At 43.4% G+C, this 23,360-nt stretch overlaps 1 protein-coding gene across 30 annotated transcripts in view, besides 3 other annotated features; it reads left to right on the plus strand.

Annotated features, from left to right (window-relative positions):
- Positions 7,993-8,402: a silencer, noted in NCBI's record as "silent region_16475". NCBI's record gives its function as "represses an Ori minimal core promoter by ATAC-STARR-seq in GM12878 lymphoblastoid cells {active_cell/tissue: GM12878}" and the evidence as "EXISTENCE:reporter gene assay evidence [ECO:0000049][PMID:35858748]".
- Positions 8,189-23,360, plus strand: part of ARHGAP26 (Rho GTPase activating protein 26) — a 458,635-nt gene continuing 443,463 nt past the window's right edge. For 22 of the 30 annotated variants that reach the window (XR_007058592.1, XR_007058593.1, XM_005268398.6 and 19 more), the window contains exon 1: positions 9,039-9,187. Coding sequence is in view for 26 of the 30 variants with exons in the window: in XM_005268398.6 (XP_005268455.2) it covers positions 9,142-9,187 (46 nt within the window). In the remaining 4 variants the exon portion in view is untranslated. Of the gene's footprint in view, positions 8,728-9,038; positions 9,188-23,360 lie in introns of those variants that run through there. The other 8 variants (NR_146198.2, NM_015071.6, XM_005268402.5 and 5 more) reach the window with 1 other exon arrangement.
- Positions 8,413-8,532: a silencer, noted in NCBI's record as "silent region_16476". NCBI's record gives its function as "represses an Ori minimal core promoter by ATAC-STARR-seq in GM12878 lymphoblastoid cells {active_cell/tissue: GM12878}" and the evidence as "EXISTENCE:reporter gene assay evidence [ECO:0000049][PMID:35858748]".
- Positions 8,828-9,663: an enhancer, noted in NCBI's record as "H3K27ac-H3K4me1 hESC enhancer chr5:142150581-142151416 (GRCh37/hg19 assembly coordinates)". NCBI's record gives its function as "activates a minimal SCP1, AML or CMV promoter by ChIP-STARR-seq in naive H9 embryonic stem cells {active_cell/tissue: H9 hESC(naive)}" and the evidence as "EXISTENCE:reporter gene assay evidence [ECO:0000049][PMID:30033119]".

A 23,360-nucleotide genomic window follows, 5' to 3' on the forward strand; every position in this document is an offset into this window, starting at 1 on the left:
TCCACCTGCTTCAGCCTCCCAAAGTGTTGGGATTACGGGTGTGAGCCACTGCGCCCGGCCAACAGCTACTAACTTTTTAAAGTCAAAAATAGAAATATAGTGATGGGAAATTCCAGAAAAGAAATACAAAGGAAAATGGGGAAGTAAAGAAATCTGCCAATATTCACTCTCCCCTAACAGACATTGTATCCCATTCGCCCTGTGTTTAGATGGAGGATAATCCATTTTAGCATTGATTTTTCATCCTGGCTTCTCCATAGATGAAAAGAAGATCAGAATACTTTATCTATTGAAATATTGCCCTCTTCACTGCCACTAAGCCACCTTCAACAAACACATGCACTCACTAAAAACCACAGCATCATCTCAAAACCGGAGCCATCAAAAGAAATGTGAATTCCCATGGATGAAAAGCCCATCCATCAATAAGGATTCGAAGTTGGGAAGTGATAGTTTCCCACTTGCTTTAGAAAGTTTGCTAATGCTTCATGACAGACTTCCTATTTTGCAATAACTAAAATGACAGAAGACTAGAAATTATCGCTTTATCTTATATGTCCTTATTCCTGCAGTCTATGTTAGTGTTTATGTCCTAAATGCATTTTTTTTTTTTTTTTTTTGAGGCGGAGTCTCACTCTGTCACCCAGGCTGGAGTGCAGTGGCGTGATTCCGGCTCATTGCAACCTCCGCCTCCCAAGTTCAAGCAATTCTCCTGCCTCAGCCTCCTGAGTAGCTGGGATTACAGGCATGCGCCACCACGCCCAGCTAATTTTGTATTTTTAATAGAGAGGGGATTTCACTATCTTAGCCAGGCTGATCTCAAACTCCCGATCTCAAGTAATCCACCTGCCTCAGCCTCCCAAAGTGCTGGGATTACAGGCGTGAGCCACCACACCCTCCTAAATGCATTTTATAGAACACTATGCATAGGATGTAATGTTTGGGGGAAAAACAGGATTCTGTGCTCAAAGAACTACGAGAAATACTTGGTTAAGCAAAATCTCAAGGATTACTTAACACAGGATTTCTCAGGATCTATAATATGCTATTGTCCATTTAAAGCATATACTCATGTATAAGATTCAGAGGCAAGAAAGAGAGCAAGGCACATAGGAATGCTTGAGTTTAGGTTACTGAAGTGAACTAATTTATTTGGTCATTTTAGCACCAACAATTATAGAAGAATAGGCCAATTATTTTTATTGACCCAGATAATTCTGGGTCTCTGTTGAAATTGTCTTTGATAGTTTTCTGGTTTCATATCAGCTTTTGAACAGTTTATTTTTATCAATAGAGTGTCCTTTTGCTTAAATACTTTTCCTCATTTAATACATATTCCTGCCCTGTAAATGCAGATATCATCTTTTAATGTTTAAGAAATCATCCTTAAAACTATGATTTTCTAATGTGAAAACTGCCTAAGAACCATGGATTAATGCAGCTGCTGAAAATCCAAGAGGAGGTGAAACAATAGGTTTTATAATTAATGCATTATATCAACTAGAGTAGTTTTGACTTTGAGTAACAGGAAACCCCATTAATGTAGCTTAAACAAATAGGTTGTTTTTTCCCTCTTTATGTGATGAGTAGTTGGGAGGTGGGTACTCTGGAGATGGGTATTGTGGCTCGTGGGTGTCACCAAGCTACCTGGCTCCCTCTGTTTTCCCATCCAGCCATCCTTAGCATGTGATATTCATCTTCATGACTGCAAGATGGCTGCTGCTGCTCCATGCATTGCATCCACATTCAAGACAAAAAGAATAGGGAAATGAAGTAAGCAGAAGGTGTGTGTCAGCAGTTGTCTCTTTATTAAAAAAACAACAAGAACAAAAAAACACACAAACCTTTCCAAAGCCCCAGCCAATACACTTCCAAGTGTATCTCAGTGGTCAGAAAAGTGGCACATGGCCACCACCAGCTGTGTGAAAACCTAAGAAATTAAATTCTTTAGTTGGGCACATTGGGGTTCTGCTAGAAACGTAACCTAAGTCTGGAGCTAGACTACCTTTTGAGAATCTCAGCTCTGCCACTCATTAGTTATATGATTTTAGGTGATTCATTTCACTTGCCTCCCCTGTAAAGGGAGATAAGATAATAATAGGGTTGCTAAGTATTAATTGAGTTAATATTTTTAAAGTGTTTAGAACTGTATCTGGTATACAGTAAATGTTATATAAGCACTTTCAATAAATGAGTAAGGTAAAGAGTGAATATTAGGTAGAAAAGTGGCAAGCATGAAATAAATCATGAAAACTGAAAATAAAAGTATTGCTAACATGTAAAACTTGTGTAGAACAAATGCTATGAGTTTCACTAATTTCTTGAGCCAAAGAATGTTAAATAGGTGCTGCTACCTCCCTTAAAGAACTATGAGCCAGTGGCTTTATGAGGATAGATTATTCTTTTTTCTTTAAGGAAACTGAGAATTTTATGTCTGTTTCAATCAACTGCTTCTACATAAATTGTAGGGCCTGTGATTTAAAGCTAAAGCAAATTAGAGGCTTGTATAATTATTGACATATTTGGGACATACCAGCAACAAGCCCTGGAAAACCACATACAGCTCATAAGGAGCGATAATGAAATCGCTCCTCTGTCATTCATATGTGATCTCATTCAAGTTTTAGGTGTTAGGCTATTATTATTTAACAATGTTTTTAGACATATAAAATGTATTTCTATAGATATTTTATATGGATGTAGTTATTTAAGCCAGATAGATTTGAATTCTAAGTCTAGCTCTATCAGTAACTACATTAGGCATCTTACTTCTCTAAGCTTTAGTTTCCTTACCTGTAAAATGGGGATGGTAGCAGCATCTAATTCTCAGGATTGTAGTAAACATTAAATAAAGAAATGTAATAGAGTGCTTAGCACAGATCCCGTTACATAGCAAAAGCTTAATAAATATCAGCATCACTGCCATCATCATTATTTTATTATTATTATTATTTTTGAGACAGAGTCTCATTTTGTTGCCCAGGCTGGAGTGCAGTGGTGCGATATTGGCTCACTGCAACCTCTGCCTCCCAGGTTCAAGCGATTCTCCTGCCTCAGCCTTCCGAGTAGCTGGGATTACAGACGCGTGCCACTACGCCCAGACAATTTTTTGTATTTTTAGTAGAGACGGGTTTTCACCATGTTAGCCAGGATAGTCTCGATCTCCTGACCTCGTGATCCACCCTCCTTGGCCTCCCACAGTGCTGGGATTACAAGCATGAGCCACCGCGCCAGGCCCATCATCATTATTTTTTAAAATCAACCTTTAATGAGGTTTACACACAATAAAACGCACCCATGAGTTTTGACAAATGCAATGCCTGTGTAACTACCACCCTAACTGAGATATAGAACATTTACATCAACCTTAAATTGTTATTTTAAAATAGGAAAACTGGTATCTTGTCTAGTAATAATAAAAAGGAGAAGTCACTGTGCAGCACAAAATATGGCATCAACCATAAAAAAGCATGAATAAGTGCTAACTAGAATTATGGGGCCATGAGAATGTGGCAGGAGGCGCATTCATTGTGAGGGAGTTGGGGACAGGTCAAATGCACTATACATTATTGCTTCTGCCTGTGCAGCAGTGATCCCCGTTTTCCCTGTTAAATGCGCTGTGCTTGTCCTTTAGTGGAACAACTTCACCCCAGTACTTTACGTTTTTGGAGTGGGGCTGTTTTATCCTTGACTCCAGTCTTGTCATTTCTATTGGAATTCTTAGAAAACTCTCTTCCTGCTAATATTGCTGGGCGTAATTTGGAGAAGCTGAGAGAGTCACTGAGACTGAAGCCACCACAGACAAAGGTCAGCTTGGGGATGGAGAGAGAAACCTGTGCTGTTATCATCTTCTAGATCCCCAGAGGCTGCCTTGAAGCTGGATCTACCCCTGAACTTCTCAGTTACATAAGGACCCATGAATGCTTCATCACGGATCAGATCTGTTCACAAGCTGGTGTTCAGGAACCAATGTGTGACTGGTCCATGCCCACTTCTGATTATATGGACTCAGAGACAATGTACATGGGAGTGCTTTGCCAGTGGTAAAGTTTCTACAAATGGGAGGTAATTGCATGGCAGGTGTAAAGTTATTTGGACCATTGAGGCCAGAAAAAATGTAGATTTAAAATATACTGATACTGAAAGCAGAACTGTTTGAACTAATTGCTAATTTTAAGGAATTCAGACATTCATCCAAAGGATTTAGGCCAAATGTTGCCTAAATTGTTTCTCTATTTCATATGAAAGTGATTTCTGCGGCTTAACTGTTCTCTTCTATTTATGTGCATGGCCATAACTGATGTTGTCACATGAGTCCTGTTTCTTTCTTATTAAACATGTGTCCGGCTCATTGATGTTCAGCACCTTTGAAGTTCCAATTGCTGTTCTAAGCTGGGGTTGCTGCATTGAATAATACAAAATCTCTACCCTTATGAGCAGATTTTCTGGGAAGAGAAAGACAACTGCACCCTCCATGCGCCAGTTTCTGTACTGCTGCATTCTTCTTTTTTTTTGAGACAGTCTCACTCTGTCACCCAGGCTGGAGTGCAGTGGTGCGATCTCGGCTCACTGCAACCTCTGCCTCCCAAGTTCAAGCGATTCTCCAGTCTCAGCCTCCCAAGTAGCTGGGACTACAGGCATTCACCACCACACCCGGCTAATTTTTTTACTTTTAGTAGAGACGGGGTTTCACCATGTTGGGCAGCCTGGTCTCGAACTCCTGACCTCAAGTAATCTGCCTGCCTAGGCCTCCCAAAGTGCTGGGATTACAGGCTTGGGCCACCACACCCAGCCTGTACTGCTGCATTCTGATTCTCTCTTTCTAGTAATACTGCTGAAAGTGTGGGAGGTTTTTTGTGGAAATTCCATATTAAATTTATGAGAAATTTACACATTATTCACATATTTACATATTTGTCTGTGAATGGGCATATTAAGTTATATGTTTGTGCCACATAGAATTATTAATATTATCTCGGTAAGCTGGTTCAAGTTACAACTCTGGGCCTCAATTTCTTATCTGAAAAAATGGGAACTATCATAGTACCAGTCTCACCCTGTAGGGATTATATGCATGTAAATAATTTTTTTGTTTGTTTTTTGAGACAGAGTCTCTCTCCGTCACCCAGGCTGGAGTGCAGTGGCACGACCTCAGCTCACTGCAAACTCTGCCTCCTGGGCTCAAGCAATTCTTGTGTCTCAGCTTCCTGAGTAGCTGGGATTAAAGGCGTGTGCCACTATGCCAGCTATAAATGCATGTAAATAATTTACCATAGTGCCTGGCATAAACTGAGAGCTTAACAAATGATAGCTGATATATTATTGTTGTTATTATTAATACATATATATTATTTTACACACATTTGCCTACTATTCCTCAATGGGATAAAACAAATAATTGTGGATCACATTTTATTTCATTCATTTAGCATGTATTGAATGTTACCATTTATGCTGGGCCCACTGTGGCAGATTATGTTTTTCAGAAATAGCTACTATAATATCTCCCATTCTTGTCATTCCCCCATCAAGAGGTACAGTCTAATCTCCTTCCTTTGAAGCTGGGTGGGCTTATGAGTTGCTTGTAGCCAATGAAGGTGGTAGAAGTATGTGGCTTCCAAGTGATTCAGGGCAGGCAAGGCCCAAAATTGCAGCTTAGCCCAGGAGGCTTCTTGGCTTTGCCCAGAAAAGAATTCAAGGGCAAGCCAGTGGTAAGAGAAAGCAACTTTCATTGAATCAGTGCTGCTCCTTGTGGAACAGGGCTATCCCATAGGGAGTGTGCTCAGGATGGGCAGTGTACAGGGCTGTTGGCAGCTGTACCTATACCTACCTTTAATTATATGCTAATTAAGAGGTGGGTTATTTAGAACTTTCTGGAAAGGAGGCAGGGAGTTTCCAGAACCATATAAGGTAACTTCCAGGCCATTGCCATGGCCTGTTGCAATGGCATTTGTAAACTGTCATGGCAATGGTGGGAGTGTCTCTATGCTAATGAGCAGTGAGGGCAACTAAAAGTGTCTTTTTTCCTTGCCTGCTGGTTTCTGCTGGCTGCTTCACTGAATCCCGTTTGGAATGAATCCTGGTTTGATCAGTGGGGTTGTGATTGGAAAACAAGTCCTGCAGGCCTCTCACCTCACAAGGCTAGGTCATAAAAGGTGATGCACCTTTCTCCTTGTGAGCTGTATATGTTCACACTGGAGCCTTAAGGCTGCCATACTGGGAGGAAGCCTAAACTGGGCCACAGAGAAAGGCCATATGGAGAAGCCCTGAGTCTACCTGAAAAGTGGGATGCCCAGCTAACCATCCACTCCTCCAGCTCCTGTCACCATCCAACTGCAATCACATGAGAGACCTCAAGCCTTTGGCTTCCCTAAATTTCTAACCCACAGAGATTGTGAGAGAAAATAAAATGATTGCTGTTGTCTTAAACCATTAACTTTTGGTATCATTTATTCTGTATTAATAGATAACCAGAACACCTACCTTTAGGTGCTCAAGATAAAGCATTAAACAGATTTACTTTCATAGGGTTTCCATTCTAGATCTTTCTCATCTTTGGCAAGTGAAGAACAATTGTTTTTGGGTTGTAATTATCTATCAGATAGCTGTCTGGACCTGCTATCAAGTCTAAATTTGTAGATACACCTATCAAAGAGATCACATTCACTTATTTATACATTTACTTATTTATTTTACAATTTTTTGTAGAGATGGGGGGGGTCTCGCTGTGTTGCCCAAGATGGTCTTGAACTCTTGACCCCAAGCAATCCTCTCACCTGGCCTCCAAAAGTTATGGATTACAGGTGTGAGCCACCATGCTCCATTTATGAATTTAATACATTAATTGCTTTCTTAATATAGATGGGACACCTCTGACCCCTCCTGAGTGAAAAATCCATGTTCCCAAGCACCCAGGCCTTCTATCCTATCACAAGGCATGGTTATCGCTTGTTTGCTTCCATCTCACCTAATACCACCAGCAGCTAAATTCATTCTGTTATTCATCTTTGTATTCTTACCATCTAGGCTAGTGCCTGCACATAGCAGACCTATTTAAAAAACAAACCAACCCAAACAAACATGAAGCCCCCACGTAGCTGAAGGAGGGCTGCTGGTTCCTAGACATAGAGATAATTTATTCAAGGACAGTCCCTATCCTCCAGGAGTTAACAATTCAGCACTAGACACCCTGTGGGACCCAGCCTGACAAGTGCAACGAGTGAGATGCCAGAATTGAGTCCTGCGGTCGAACAGAGGGACTACAGGGCAACGCACTGGGCGTGGGAGGTGGAGATGGCTCTGGGAAAGGATCCATTCATTTATTCTACATTTATCAATCACCGTAGCACACACAGCACATAGTAAGTGCTCAATATCTGTTATTAAATGCCAGCCACTGTGCTAGGTGCCAGGATGCAACAGCGGACAAGAAAATTGCAGGGGCACTTGCCCTCGTGGGGCTTACCGTGTAGCGAAGGATGACAGGCAGTAGACTGTCATCTTATTATGTAAAATTGTGCTAGATGCAGAGCAGGAAAATAACAGGCGGCTGAAATTCTAGTAATGATGTGAGCTCCTTCGGCTGAGGGGAACCGTGGGCGGGTTCTGAGCAGGAGTGGCCGTGAGGGGGACGGACCGTAGGGGGCGGGAAGACTGCAGGCAAGAGCTGGTAATTTTAAGATGCAAATAACATTTTTCTGCCTGACTGGAAGAGGAGCGTTTGGTCGCTCGGGATTCTCCCGGAGCAGGGGGCTGTATTTTGAGTGTAAAATCGGTTGCCCCGCAGTGCAGGGCAGGCGGTGGTGAACTGCAGCCCTAGTCCCCAGGTTTTTCATGCTTGGCACATCGAGGCTCTTCGGCCCCCAGGACCAGCAGACTCGCCATGCGTGGCTCGGATTCGGGCTGGAGCAGGCGGGCAAGGTAGCGGGGGCGGGTGCACAGCAACGCTCACCCCTAGGTTTCGGGGTCTGCAACGCTGGGAGGGCAAGAGGAGGCGGAGTTTGCGCTGCGGACCTAGGCGTTGGCGAGGGCCACGCCCCCAGCCGCAGACCCTGCCTCCAGGCCCCTTTGATTGGATCAAGACCGCGGAAGGGCCGGGCGTCCTCGGGCGGCCTGAGGGTCGGGCAGGGGAGGGTGCGCTGATTGGCCCGGCGGGGATTAAGTCATCGCTAGCAGGTTCGAGCGGCCCAGACACCGGCGGGGCGGCCGAGGCTGCTGTGAGAGGGCGCTCGAGGCTGCCGAGAGCTAGCTAGCGAAGGAGGCGGGGAGGCGGCGTCTGCACTCGCTCGCCCGCTCGCTCGCTTCCCGGCGCCGCTGCGGGTCCGCGCTGCGTTTCCTGCTCGCGATCCGCTCCGTTGCCCGCGCCCGGAACAGCAGCACCTCGGCCGGGTCCGAGCTCGGTTCGGGAGTCTTGCGCGCCGGCGGACACCGCGCGCGGAGTGAGCCAGCGCCACACCTGTGGAGCCGGCGGCCGTCGGGGGAGCCGGCCGGGGTCCCGCCGCGTGAGTGCTCTGGGCGGCGGGCGGCCCGGGCCCCGGCGGAGGCGCGCCCCCCGGCTGGGCGCCGCGCGCACCATGGGGCTCCCAGCGCTCGAGTTCAGCGACTGCTGCCTCGATAGTCCGCACTTCCGAGAGACGCTCAAGTCGCACGAAGCAGAGCTGGACAAGACCAACAAATTCATCAAGGAGCTCATCAAGGACGGGAAGTCACTCATAAGCGCGCTCAAGAGTGAGTGTCCCGAGCCCCTCGGGGACGCGGCTCCGGGGCGGGAGGAACTGGGAGGTGGCGCTTAGCCCGGGTTGCCCGCGCGTCTGCCGGGTTTCTGCTCCCGGTACACTGGGGGACGGGTGTCGACGCCTCCGAGGCAGGAAGGATACGTAAAGCGGGCGAACCAGCAACCATCAGATGAAGAGAGAGACCCGTCGCTCCGCCTTTTGCGTTCAGGGATGGTCGGGAGGTGACCCAGCGCGGGTGGTGCTCTGGGGCAGCGCGGGTGGGCGTGGGCGTGCGCGGCACGCAGGTGTCCCAGCAGTGGGGCCAGAGTGCCGAGCGCGCCGCAGCCAGCGGGCAGATCCCATCGTGTCCACAGCTCCAGCTCCCTTAGGGGCAGAGTTGCTCAGCCTTGAGTGCCCAACCGTGAGAATGGAGCGTGCCCTGCCGAGGGGGCGCTGCCTCCCCTTGGGAAAAGGTGGGTTGTGACTGCTTCGCTCCCTGTACGCAGCTCCAGCCTAGTCAGGCCGCCGGGTTCCCTGGGTGGAATGCTTGGTTAGCTTGCGATTCCTTGGAGTATTGGCAGCCAGTAATCTCTAAATCTGGAATCAGTACGTGCGCAGGTTCTGATTCTTGTGTTTAGCAGAAGGTGATAGGGGTGGGAGTAGAGAATCAGAGTGTTCCTTTACTCTAAACTGTGGGCGAGGGTTTAAAAATAGAATGTACATATCCCAACTCTCTCCCTCTCCTGCTCCCAAGCTCTCCTTTTTACCTCTTCCGTTATCCTTGTAAAGGTCTGAGAAGGAATATCCATAATTCTCAGAAAGAAGTTCAAACGTATTTCAAAGATTCTTGGACCTTTTGTAAAACCATTTTTGCGTTTTTTCCTTTTGGTACAAGGGGAGAGATGCAATTTTGCATTCTGCTTCACTTTTGCAGAGCCAGAGAGTTTCTTTTTCTGGCCAAATAAGCGTGCTCTAGGGATGAGTGCTTTGGATTGTGAGAACGTTTTTGGTGCCTTTTCAGTCTCCCCATTTAAAAATAGCTCAGTCCATCTTTTAGTTTTAAGAATCAGGAACCACATGAAGGCAGATAGTGGAATTGTCTCTGACTCTGTTACTGTATCTGTTTCTGTGATGGATTTCTTAGTAGGTGATACCTTTCAGCTAAGAAATCTTGCCTTAGCAGAGTAGAGTCGTAGCTGTGGGAATTGTTCCCAGGCCTCTTTAAAGGGCACTTACAAAAGTCAGGTGCCTGAGATGTCATTTTGTCAGCTTGTTGCTTCTAAAAATGAAGAGAGAGACAATGGAATGCCAGGGCAGCCCAAAGTGCCAATCTTTTGGGATGAAATGAACACAGGACTGTGATGTGATGAGGCTTCTTAGAGGCAGATTCTTAGGCTGTGCCTTACCTGAAACATATGAACAGACCCTTCCTTTGTCAATAATCAAGGCCATTCTTGGTTTAGGGGATGGGGGTCCCTGGTTTGGAGTAAGTTAGGGGCCCACTTACAGGTTGGGCCCAGGAATTTTGATTGAACCTCAGGCTGGCTTTAGTGAGTTCTCTGCTTCACTCAGCAAACTTTTGGTGTGATTGTGGTGTACTGGGTACTGCACTGGGCACTAAGGGTGTAGGAGTGAATATTTTGCTGCTCCTGTGCTTACAGAGGTGTACTTCATTCCAGGCACTGCTTCACATATAATTATCTCATGTGCTTAGATTCATTCTGCAAATGAGAAAACAGAGACTGGGGGAAGCATTACCTCTGAGTCACACAGCTCTAGCAGCAGGACCAGAGCTTTTGAATCCACCTGGTTTGAGCCAGAGATGGAGTCCCTGCCAGTGCAGAGCTCTTGACTTCTGCCCCATCTCACTTGCCCGGAATGGAACCTCTTGCACCAAGCCCTAGAATTTGGACTTGTGTTTTCTATTTTGGCATTGAATCTGAGGAGGGTGCGTTTGGGTGACTGGCAGTTTTCCTACCACTAGTTTTTGGGGGCAAGAATTCTTTGGTAGGAAGAAACATTGCAGTGATAGAGTTGAAGTGTTATTTAAGCTGTCTAATGGAATGGATCAGCCCTGTAATCTGGAGGAAAGACTGATGGGGATCTCGGTGTTCTGTTCTCTCTACGTCCAGCTCTGCTAATGTATTCTACCACTACTAACTACTACTTGATCAGGTCAGGTGACCTCTAAAAATAGAGGGTGGAGTCAACCATTGTGTCCTGGATTTCAGACATTCCGATATCATGAGATGCTTGCTGCGTGGTATACTACTATATTAATGTTTGTGTATTATTTTTCTTCAGTCATGTTTATTATATCTATAAACAGAAGTGTTTTCCCAGTACAACTTAAACATAAATACATAATTATATAAACACTGGGTTTAGATAATCTATGTTCTCTTATAGCTCTAAACTTTTGTGGCTTTATTTTATAGCCATATTTTATTTTATTTTACAGTTATTTTATAACTAGTATTTCTAGCTCTTTGGATTTAACTTGGTTTTGAGTGTTAATCATAGGCAATAAAACTGTCCTCTAGGGATTGCCAAAGTTCAGGTAGATCATTGTTACTATTACTTCCACTTTATGAATGAGATGCTGGCAATGGAGATGCAAATTCTTTATAGATCTAGATCCCGTAAAGGAGAAACATGCAGCAGGTGCTTGATTAAGTGAAAACATTGCCAGTTGTTTTTTAGACTCCGAGCCCTGGGTAGCAAAGACCAGCTAAGATTTTGTATTATCCTCTGAAGTTTTGGAGTTCTTTCTCCATCACGGGCTTTGAAGGCTAGAGGGACAGATGAGAGTGGCTGAATATGTCTTGGCTTTGTAAAGCAGCAGAGTTTCTTTTGGGGGTAGCACTGAATGATTATCAGTGATTGTCTTTTCACTGAGTAATATAGCATTGAACAGAGAGGCCAAAAACCTGTTCTTGGTGTGATTCAGTAAGGTAAGTAAGTGGTTCATCCTCTTTGCCTTTCAAAGCAAGAGTAAAAAGGTCAGCACTGAGTTACATGCTTTAAAGCCTGTCACCCTTTTGTACTTGTTAGAATTAAACGTGGGCATTTTGCAATACATAAGCGCTTCTTGAATGGCATAAACTCTCAAAGGATGTTCGATGCCAACCTGCTTTGTTTAGGAGTAATTATGTTACTCAGAAAATCCTAATGGAACAAATGGATGTGGAGTTGGGTAGCAAAATATTTTCCCCAGATCCTTTGCTTTGCTTCAGTACCTTGTGAATAAAGAAAATCAAAGGCATTTCCTAATTATTTGTAAATGGTAGTAATTGACATTTTGAATATTACTCATACAAACATAAATGACAGCAAATTAAATTCAAACAAATTTTTATAGTTTTTATATAACATTGGCTGAAAAACATCCCTTCATTTTACTCCATTCTGTGTTCTTAGTTGGACTGAAAAAATTTGCATCCAGTCTGTAGTTCTCAATTCATTGACTTTGGCTTAAACCCTCCTTCCCTGCACTTAAATCATTAATGGACTTTTTTTTTTTTTTAAGAGCAGTTTTAGATTCACAGAAAAATTGAGTGGGAAGTGTAGAAAGTTCCCACATAGCGCCTCATACCTGTCCCTTCCAGTTGCCCCTATTTCTAACATCCTGCATTAGCATAGTACAGTTGTTATAGTTGATGAACCAATATCAATATAACATTATTAACTAAAGTCCATAATTTACATTAGGGCTCACTCTTTGTGTTGTACATTCTGTGGATTTTGACAAATGTATAATGACATATAAACACCATCATAGTAACATACAGAATACTTTCACTACCCTAAAAATCCTATGTGCTCCACCTATTCATCCCTCCCTCCCCACTAACCCCGGGCAACCACTAATCTTTTTACTGTCTCTCTAGTTTTACCTTTTCCAGAATGTCATGTAGTTGGAATTAAACAGTATGTGGCCTTTGCAGATTGGCTTTTTTTCACTTAGCAATGTGTACTGAAGGTTCTTTCATGTCCTCTTATGGCTGGGTAGCTCATTTCTTTTTATTGCTGAATAATATTCTGTTATCTAGATGTGCCATAGTTTATCCTTTCATCTATTGAAGGACATTTTGGTCGTTTCCAAGTTTTATCAATTATGAATAGAGCCGATATAAACATTTGCGTGCAGTTTATATGTGGAAATAAGTTTTTAACTCATTTGGGTAAATACCAAGGAGTATAATTGTTAGATTATATAGTAATGTATATATATATAAAATAAAATAGTACGTGTAGTTTTTTTTAAGAACTGTCAAACCGGCTTTCAAACTGATTATACTGTTTTGCATTCTCACCAGCAATGAATGAGAGTTCCTGTTGCTCTACATTCTGCTCAGCACTTGGTTTTGTCTGTGTTTTGGATTTTGACCATCCTACTAGGTGTGTAGTGGTATCTCATTTTAAAAAATTTAGCTATTTCCTTATGACATATGATGTTTGGCATCTTTTCATATTGCTTTCTTGCCATCTGCATATCTTCTTTGGTGAGGGGTCTTCAGATCTTTTGCCCATTTTTATTTGGGTTATTTCTCTTTGTCGAGGTTTGTTTGTTGTAAAATATACATAACACAACGGTTACCACTTTAGTCATTTTTAAGTATATAATGCAGTGGTTTTCAGCATGTTCACCATGTTGTATAATTACTATCTCTTTCGAGAACATTTTCATAATCTCAAACTGGAACTCTGTTCCCATTAAACAATAACTCCCCACTTTCCCCTCCCCCAACCCTAGTAACCTCTATTCTGCTGTCTGTATGAATTTACCTATTCTGTGTACTTCTTATGAGTGGAATTATACAATATTTGTCATAAATATCTGGCTTATTTCACTTAGCAAAATATTTTCAAGGTTCATCCATGTTAATAGCATGTGTTAGGATTTCATTTCTCTTCATGGCTAAATATCTTATTGTTGAGTTTTAATTATCAACAGCTGTCATTAGGAAAGACTATTCTTTCTCTTTTAAAGTCATAAAAATGTATTTTTTTCTTTCCATTTCGTTTCCCTTCAGTATGATCACTAACACTTGGAATTGACATACCAATTGATCATGGTTGTCTCTCACAAGAACACTATATTTATATTTATTCCTTTCAAAGCAGTTACTTGCTTCAGGTCAGCATGTTTTTGGGGGAATTTTTCATAAAAGGTTAATTGAATTATAATTTACATTCCATAAAATTCACCTTTTAAGATTTTATTTTTTATTGTTTTTATTATTTGTGGAGATGGGGGTCTCACTTTGTTGTTGCCCAGGCTGGTCTCGAACTCCTGGTCTCAGGTGATCCTCCCGTCTTGGCCTCCCAAAGTGCTGCGATTACAGGCATGAACCACGGCTCCTAGCCACTCACTTTTCTTAAGTGTATAATTCAGTGGTTTGTAGTTACAGAGTTATGCAACCATCATCCTAGTCCTGTTTTAGAACATTTTTAGCACCCCGAAAAGCTTTCTCATGCTCATTTGCAGGCACTGCATTTTTGCCTGAAGCCTCATACAACCACTGATCTACTACTTTCTGTCTCTATAGATTTCTCTTCCCTGAAAAATTAAGCTAAATGGAATCATATAATATGTAGTCTTATGCATCTGGCTTCTTTCACTAAGCATGCTGTGTTTGAGGCTCATCGTGTTGTAGCATGTATCAGTAGTTTGTTCCTTTTTATTGCTAGAAAATATTCCATTTTGTAAACCATAAGTTGTTTATCCATTCACCAGCTGATGATTTGGGTCATTTCCAGTTTTTTGCTCTTATGAATAATGCTGCTATGAATGTTTGCATACGTGTCTTCATGTGTATATATGTTTTCACTTCTAATTTCATTTTTTACCTAGGAGTAGAATTTTGCTGGGTTGTATGGTAAATTTATGTTTAAGTTTAATTTAAACTTGTGTTTATTTAAAAAAACCTACCATACTGTTTTCCATAACAGAAGCACCGTTTCACATTCCCACCAACAATGTATGAGGATTCTGATTTCTCCACATCCTCGCCAATACTTGTTGTTGTCTTTCTTTTTGATTGTAGCCACTCTAGTGGGTGTGAAGTGGTATCTCGTTGTGGTTTTAATTTGCATTATCCTGGTGACCAATGAGGATGAGCACCTTTTCATGTGTTTGTTGGCCATTGGTGCGTCATCTTTGCTGAAATGTCTATTCAGATCTTTTTTTTCCTTTACTTTGTCTCATAAAACTTTTGATGATTAAGTGAACAGCACTTAGTATATTTTCTCCATTTGCCCTCTTTTGGGGACTATTTGTTTCCATGTGCTTCAACCTTAGATGTATTTAACTGATCAGTTTCAGGATCTCAGGAATTAGGAAGTGGTTCTTATGAGGCTGTGGTTCAGATTTCTGCTCTTGTTAGGCCAGTGGGCATCGCTCTGGGCAGATGCCACACAGGCTGGACTTCCTAATTCTGGCCTGCATAAGCTAATGATCCAAGCCCTCTCAATGGACAAAATGAGAACCGGCCAAGGAAGAACTGTTATCACCATTGAGCTACTGGGGAAAGCAAGTTGTAAAGGGGACTTTGTTATCCTGTCAAGGTCATTGCATTTCTAAAAATTAGCCAGTGGAGGAATACTAACCTAGCAGTCAAAGTAGTTTTTCTAGATTTAAGTTTCTGAGTGAGCCTCGTTTTACCTTTTAAAATTATAACCCCTTCTGTTTCAAATTATATATTTTTTGCCATCAGAAGAAGAGTTTCGTTCAGGAAATACGGAGACCCTGCTCTGCCTTTACCATGTCCTCCAGAGCCCTAGACTAGAGTAATGGCTTTTTGGATGGAGGTAACCAATGTAGGAGTCATTAGCGGGGAGATTGAGTGGGATGTTTGGGGGCCAGTGGCGCGGCCAGTTGTGACTGTAGCAGAGTGAAGGCGAATGCACAAAGAGATAGGCCAGGGCAAGGTCATAGGGATCTTGAATTCTAGAAAGGACTTAGAGTTTTATTCTAAGTGTGATGGGCAGCCATGGAAGGCTGTGCCATGATCGTACTCATACTTTAAAAAGATTATGTAGGCAGCTGTGTAGAGACCAAGCGTAGTGGAGCAACAATGGAGGCAAGATGACCAGTAAGGAAGCTGTTGTAATAGTTGAGGTGAGAGATGATGGCACCGTGGGCTAGGGTGACAGCATCACAGATGGTGGTCAGAGGCTGGGTATTTTTGGAAGTAGAGCCCACAGGATTTGCTGCACAGCATATGGGCTATGAGAGAAAAGAAAGAAGTCTAGAATGATTCAGATATTTTTGGCCTGAGCAGTTATGTGAATGATGGTACTATTTGCTAAAATAGTTTGCTTGGGAAGGATTAGGTTTAGGGGTAAAATTAACAATATGAATGAATGACCTAATCTTATAATGCAAAGACAAAATATTATGACATGGATAGTTCCTGAATACATTCTCATGCAAGCATCAAAGAGTATAGACGTATACAGTGTAAAAGCACCCCCTTTTCCTAGCTAACAATCATTGTTAGCAGTTTGGTATGCATTTTTTCTTGTCCTTTTTCTGCGTGTTTTTTTCATAAATGGGATTATACTATAAGGATTATTTTGTGTTTTGCTTTTCGAGTTGATCATTTGTCTTGAAGACCTTCCATGTCAGTACATGCATGTAGTGCATTCTTTTTAATGACTGCAGAGAGCTTTATGTGGATATGCCATAGTTGGTATTTACTCAGTTTCCTGTTGAAGGATATTTGGATTGTCTCTGTTGTTCACTATTAGAAGGCGTGCTGCAGTGATTATTTGCACACCTGCTTTTGTGTGTGGATTCCAGCATTTCCCTGAGATGGATTCCTTCAAGTGGAATGGTTGCTGGCTCCAGTTTTTACAAGCCCTTTGACATCTGTTGTTTAGGTCCTTTGCATCCTTGTAGCCGGTTGATAATTTGGTGCTCCTTTGAGTATGTTAGATTGTTTCTGAAGCTTAATCTTTTGGTTAAATCAGAAGCATCCTTAACAGACCCTTCTGTTAGACACTGACACTGATTTTAAAACAACCAAGGGATAGAAAAAAAAAAAAAACTTAGTGTGTGTGTATGTGTGCCAGGGAAAGAGAGATGACAATTAATTGGATGTGTCCCTATTAGCCCTGGAACTGCTTGATATGCTTTCTGAGTGGCATGTTCTTATAGGTCAGATGGGAGATGGGATGGGGCTTTGCCCATATCTAAGAGTCTATTCTAACCTCCAGGCTCAGGGACTAGGAAGGAAATCATGTTTATTTAGGGTGAGAACAACAGCATTAGCAGCCAGAGGAATTTTTACAAATTATAGTGACTGGGGTTTACACATTTTTGTAGCACCTCAGAATGGAGAGAGAGGAAATGGTAAGGAAAACAGCTTGGCAGTGTGGGCCACGAGCTGTCATGGCATGTTTGTGTCTGGCTCATTTCACCTTGATTGGAAGGCACAGAATGCTGCCCTGGGTAAGCTGGAGACTGGGCAGTTTCCTGCTATATTTAGAAAGAGGAGATTCCTGGGGTTAGGGTGGTGTGTGTGTGTGTGTGTGTGTTTTCTTTGCCAGATAGACAAAGGTTTGAGGGGTTTGTGAATTCCACACCAAACTGTTAACTAGCTGGTTTCTCTGGGCCAAGCCAGTAGCTACTCTTTGACTCTTGCTGCTGCCACACAGCAAAAGCTCAAAAAACTCCTATTTTATATGGTTTGAAAAGATACCGCTGGTAAGTTTCAAAACTCATCTGATCTTGCTGTCACATCTGCTTTTAAGTTTACTGCAGGCTAATTTGAACACTTTGAAAATATGAACTGCCTCCTCCTCTGAGACTTCAGATAGATCTCCAAGCTGACTGAGTTGAACTTTGGCTGTTTCTGTGCCAAGGAGACTGTCAAACAGATAGGACCAAAGCCTTAGCAAATTCCTGACTGCGTATCTCGTTATCACACTTGTGGGTCAGGGGTAGACAATGAATATTAGTCGAACAAATAAAATAAGGCATTTTTACTTTAACTCATAGCTATGTTTCTTTTTAAAAGGGTTGCCTAAATAGGTAATACCTATAAGTTGTTCATAATTCAAAAGAGACAAAAGAGAATGTGAATATCCCTCCAATGCTTCCTGTCTCCTGATCCCCACTTCTTCCTCTGGAGGCATTTTATTGGTTTCTTTGGTATTTTTCAGATGTAATTTATGCATGTGCCAACAAATACACATACACATTGTGCCATATGTGCTGTTTTACCCTTTGCTTTTAATATATTAGATATTATTCTACATTGGTACATAGAGAGCTCACTCATTGTTAGATTGCATTGTATTCTATTGTATGAATTAAATATAGTGTATGTAACCATTCCCCTAATAATAAACATTTAGATTATTTCCAACCTTTCACCATTGCAAGTAATGTTGTTGTGAACATCCTGGCACCTCTGGCATGAGGCACATGAGTGACAAATTCCTAGAAATGAAACTGCTGGACCAAAGGGTATGTACATTTTTCATTTTAATAAGTATTTCATAACAGTGTTTCTGAAAAGTTCTAAGTGAACTGAATTTGATAAACCATGATTTTAGAGTAGGAAGGAAACTCACCATTTTAGACAGTTTATTACAGAATGGTCTCTGTAAATAAAACAATACTTAGAATTTTCTCCATTTTCCCCTTTCCAGTTTGTGTGTATTGTTAATTCTGGGATTAAAAGCCACAGCAAAAATCATTCCCTAAACTGAGACAGCTGTACCTAGAAATCAGTTGAATGTAGGATCCCAGAGACCTTGTTTGTGTTCCTAGTGATGGTGCTGTTGAGTTTTTATCTTTGTGCGGTGCGTGTAACATTCAGGAGATTCGGCAGGTTTGTTGAAGGAGGGCAGTCTTCTGCCTTCTGTGACCGGAGACCGTGACTCTGGTCTAGGGGACACGTTGCCTATCATAGAAGCTTCCCGGTGGGCACTGGAATTCCTGGGAGCTGGTGAGGGAGTCGGGAGTTTTGCATGACATCTCTCTCTGGCAGCTTCTCCTGCAGAGCTTAGCACTTTTCCCTGATAGAGGACAGGATCATGCCACATGTCCTCTGCCATCTCTGTTCCAGCTCCTGTTGATGTAGAAGGCTACATTGGCCAGGTTCCTGGCATGAAGCAGGCACAGTCCTTGTCTCCTAGATGCTCACTGTTTTGAGAGGAGGCAGGGAAACAGGCAGCCCACAGCACAAAGGGGAGATTGCTAGCAGTTTAAAAGGGCCTCTGGGGGAGGGAGCAGAGGCCTGTGGGAAAGGCAACTGAAGGCTTATCGAGCCCAAGGGGGCAGTGTGGTCACTAATGATCAGTCATGTGAAGGGTACCTCTGTTATTTTTGCCCCACCTCACCACCCTTTATTTACTTTGAAAAAAGTCTACTCATTACAAAATACATTTATTTCAAAAAGGAGCTTTTGAACCTGCATTCAGAAATTGCAAGTTTGATATGGTTAACTTTTTTTTTCTAAATATCTTCAAATAATTATTAAATCATAATCATTACATTGAAAAGTATTTGTCATTGTATTGCCTAAAATAATCCCATATTTCACCAGTGTTATGAGAGTCATTCTCTTCTTAACACTGTCCCAAGGCAGAAGTATGTGAGAGAATGGACACCATCTGCCCATCACACCTGGGGGAAAAGGGAGGGGAGCAATGCACTCCTTAGGCTTGGGTGCAGGTGTCTGGGGCAGGAGGCTGTGTGCCAGGGAATACAGTCTGCTGAAAATCTGTTTTACTCAGTGGGATCACAATTTGAATATTCAAATAAACACTGATAAGTTATAGAGTGGAATGCAGAATTCATGGCTTTTTTTTGAGATGGAGTCTCTCTCTGTTGCCCAGGCTGGAGTGCAGTGGTATTATCTTGGCTCACTGCAACCTCCGCCTCCCGGGTTCAAGTGATTCTCCTGCCTCAGCCTCCTGAGTAGCTGGGACTACAGGTGCGTGCCACCATGCCCGGCTAATTTTTTGTATTTTTTTTTAGTAGAGATGGGGTTTCACCGTGTTACTCAGGATGGTCTCAATCTCCTGACTTCGTGATCTGCCCGCCTTGGCCTCCCAGAGTGCTGGGATTACAGGCATGAGCCACTGCGCCTGGCCGATTCATGGTGTTTTTGAGAGTAGATGATCAGGTGTGGATGAAGAGAACACATAGTCAGCAGCATAGTGCCTGAGGAAGGGATGACAGAGGAGTTAGGGGCATCTCCAGAGTTTCCTTCTTAGGCCTTGGGAGGATGGCTGAACTGCATACAGGAGAGGAATCGTGGTGTGTGATGGGGGATACAGAGTGAAGTAAGGTTTGTCCTTGCTGAGTTCCTGCAGGGCATGCAGGTGGAGACACCCACAAGGCTGTGGGAAGCACAAGTCTGGAACTCTGGAGGAAGATGAGGGCTACAGGTATAGGTTTGGCTCTCTCCAGGTGGTATTTGAGGCCCTGGGAGTGACTGAATCTATAAGAGTGAGACCCACGCAGGGGTCCTTAGCCTCTGCTGTCCATTGAAATCACCTGAGGAGCTCAGGACTCACCTTCAGAGATTCTGATATAATTTGGCTGGGTTGCAGTCTGGGCATGGGACATTTTAAAAACTCCCCAGGTGATTCTAATGTGCAGCAAGGGTGAAGAACGCCTGGCATGGAGTGAGAGAAGAGAGTGGAAGCTGAAACCATAGGGAGCATCCACATTTAGCAGGTGGGTAGCAGAGAGTTGGAGAGGCTTTGATGACTTGATGTTTCATCCTGGCCAGTTTAGGTGAGGACTGTTTGGAGGCCTTTGGATTTGACCTTTGGAGATGAAACTGGAGAAAACAGCATAAGTGCAAGGGAGGATAATAAATATCTATTATACCTTACAATATTATTGTGAGGAGCAGCTGAGATAATTGTAGATATTATGCTTAGCAGTGTAAGCAGGCCTGTGGTAAGTGACCTGTTATTGGAATCTGCCTTTAGAGTGTCCTTGTAAGATAGTGGTTCTTAAAAGTGAAGGTGTACAAGAATTCCCCTAACTGCAGATTCTCTGGCTTTACCCAAGGAAATGCTGATGCATGAGCTCTAGGCAGGTCTGGAAACCCGAATTTCCTATACCCCCGCCCCCACTCCCTTCCATCTCACCCCAAGTGATTTGCATGGTGGGAGTCCTTGGACCACACATTAGGTCTAAATAGGTCAGCAGAGATTCTGCATAAATCTGGTCCCCAAATCCTGTTCTTCCTTAATGTGCACAGCTGTGCTCTCCAGCCTCGTGGGCACATCTCAGATATCTGGAGGGTGTTTGCATTACTGCAGGCCTAGGAATGATGCAGGAGGGTTTCAGAAGCGTAAAAGTTCTAGCAGCTTGAGAACATGTCAGCCAGTGTGGCTCCACGCCTGGGATCCAGTTGTTCCGTGAGCTTGGCCTGTGAGCGGGAACCCTTCAGCAGCATTGCCAGCGGATGTGGGGGAGCTCCTGAAAGGAAACTTTTGCTCCTGGGCAATCACAGGGAAACTGTATTCCCACAGTGAGTCTTGGGTGCTCTTGTCAGGGTTAAAGTCATTTGGGGTCAGAGCCTGTAATTATGTTTCACATTTTTTTTTTCTTTAAAAACATTCAGGAAGCATAATGAGCTGGTTGAGCTGTTGCACAGCAAGGGGAACTCAGGATCTGGGGAGAGGAGGAGAGAGACTGGGTGATGGCTCTGGAGCTGAGATGCCTTAAACCCAGAGAGAGCTGATCTCCCCCTTCTACCTGGAGGTGCCCCTGGGCAACTCATTTCTGGCAAATACTGCTGTCTCTGTTCTGATCTCAGCTGGTTCTCACCCTTTTAAAGCAGGGCTGGATGACTGGGCAGACCACAGCTGCTGCTGGTGTGATCCCAGGGTGTCACCACCAGGAAATTAGTGCTGCTTTCACTCTGCTATTTGCTTCTTAAGAAAATCTGTGGGTTGCTCTTCCAAAAATAAGGTTTTCTTGCATTTGTATCTGACTAGTGCACTGAAATGTTTGACACAGACTTTACCGTGGGCGACTTACCCAGCAGATCATCAGCCACACCACCCCTGCTGTGGACAATATGTCATTGTGGAGGCCAGGGCAGGCACTGGAGGCGAGTGCCTCAGCATCCGTAGGCTTCGGCATCCAGATGCTCCTGCTGCATCTGTGTCTGCTGGCCAGGACTTGCCACAATCTGCCGGCCTTCTGACCGAAGCTGCCCAGAGCTCAGTGTGCAAGGTCAGCAGACTACCATGCTGCCAGCTCTGTTTAGAGCAGCAAGATGGGTTTCTCTCTGGAAAGAAAGCCTGTTTCCTCTTACGTAGCCAGCATGCTTGTAATCGGTTCCCCAGCAGGGAAGCTCTGCTCCATTGCATAGGAAATTGGAGTGGAACTGATAGCTTTTGGCCTCTGTGTCTTTTGGGATATAACTTTGGCTTGCTTCTCATCTCCCCCACCTCTCCTGGCCAGCTTAACTTCATACCATACTGCAAGGAAAAGACACAGCCCAGTGGGGCTTGCTTGGGATTTTGTGCTTGAAACCGTACGTAATTTGTACATGAAGATGATCACCAGTTGAAGATAACTTAAATTTTGCTTGTTTTCCTAAGGAGTCTAATCCTTACTGCCCCTAAACTGAGTCTCTTTAAGAAAGACAATTTGTTTTTTGATGGTTAAGCAAGAAACTTGTAAAATGTCAAACTGGAGAAGGATGACTCATATCTCTTAATGTGCCGTCTCAATCAGCCATATTACTGAGCTCCCCAAATGGGCAGCATGGGGGTAGGCGATGGTAGGCAGAGACCATGGACGATGTTTTTTAAAAACAGCTTTTTTGAGATACAATTCACACGACACAATTTACCCATTTGCAGCATACAATTCAATGGCTTTTAGTATATGCACAGGATTTTGCATTCATCTTCACGATTAATATTAGCATATTTTCATCATTCCCCCAAAGCAATCCTGTAGTCCTTAGCTAATATCTGCCATTCTTTCCATCCCTACCTCTCATCCCTAGGCAACCACTTCCTTAGGATTTTTTTTTTTTTTTTTTTTTGAGATGGAGTCTTGCTCTGTTGTCCAGGCTGGAGTGCAGTGGCGCGATCTCGGCTCACTGCAAGCTCCGCCTCCCTCCTGAGTTCATGCCATTCTCTTGCCTCAGCCTCCCAAGTAGCTGGGTCTACAGGCGCCCACCACCATGCCCGGCTAATTTTTTGTATTTTTAGTAGAGACAGGGTTTCACTGTGTTAGCCAGGATGGTGTCGATCTCCTGATCTCGTGATCCGCCCACCTCGGCCTCCCAAAGTGCCGGGATTCCTTAGGATTTTTAACTCATGTCTCCAAGTGTGGCACTCTCCTATCTGCTTCGTCTCTTGATCTTGTGAAGCCACATACCCTTTTCCTTCAGTGCATCCAAACAATTTGCAGCTCCTCAGAATGCTGCAGTTCCAACACCAGGATGTTCCGACCTGGCACTGTTCTTGCTCTTCACACATTCTTGTCCTCTGACAGATTTACTAGTGCAACCTGACTAATGCACACTCACTGCCGAGGGGGCCTTTAGGCCTCTGGTTTCACACTTCTTTTGTCTTGTCTGTCCCTTGGTGTTGATCTTGCTTTAGAGAGAGTAATTGGAACGAGAGCGTGTTATTTCTGCTTGA

The sequence above is a fragment of the Homo sapiens genome, chromosome 5, assembly GCF_000001405.40.
Source record: "Homo sapiens chromosome 5, GRCh38.p14 Primary Assembly".
NCBI lineage: Eukaryota > Metazoa > Chordata > Mammalia > Primates > Hominidae > Homo > Homo sapiens.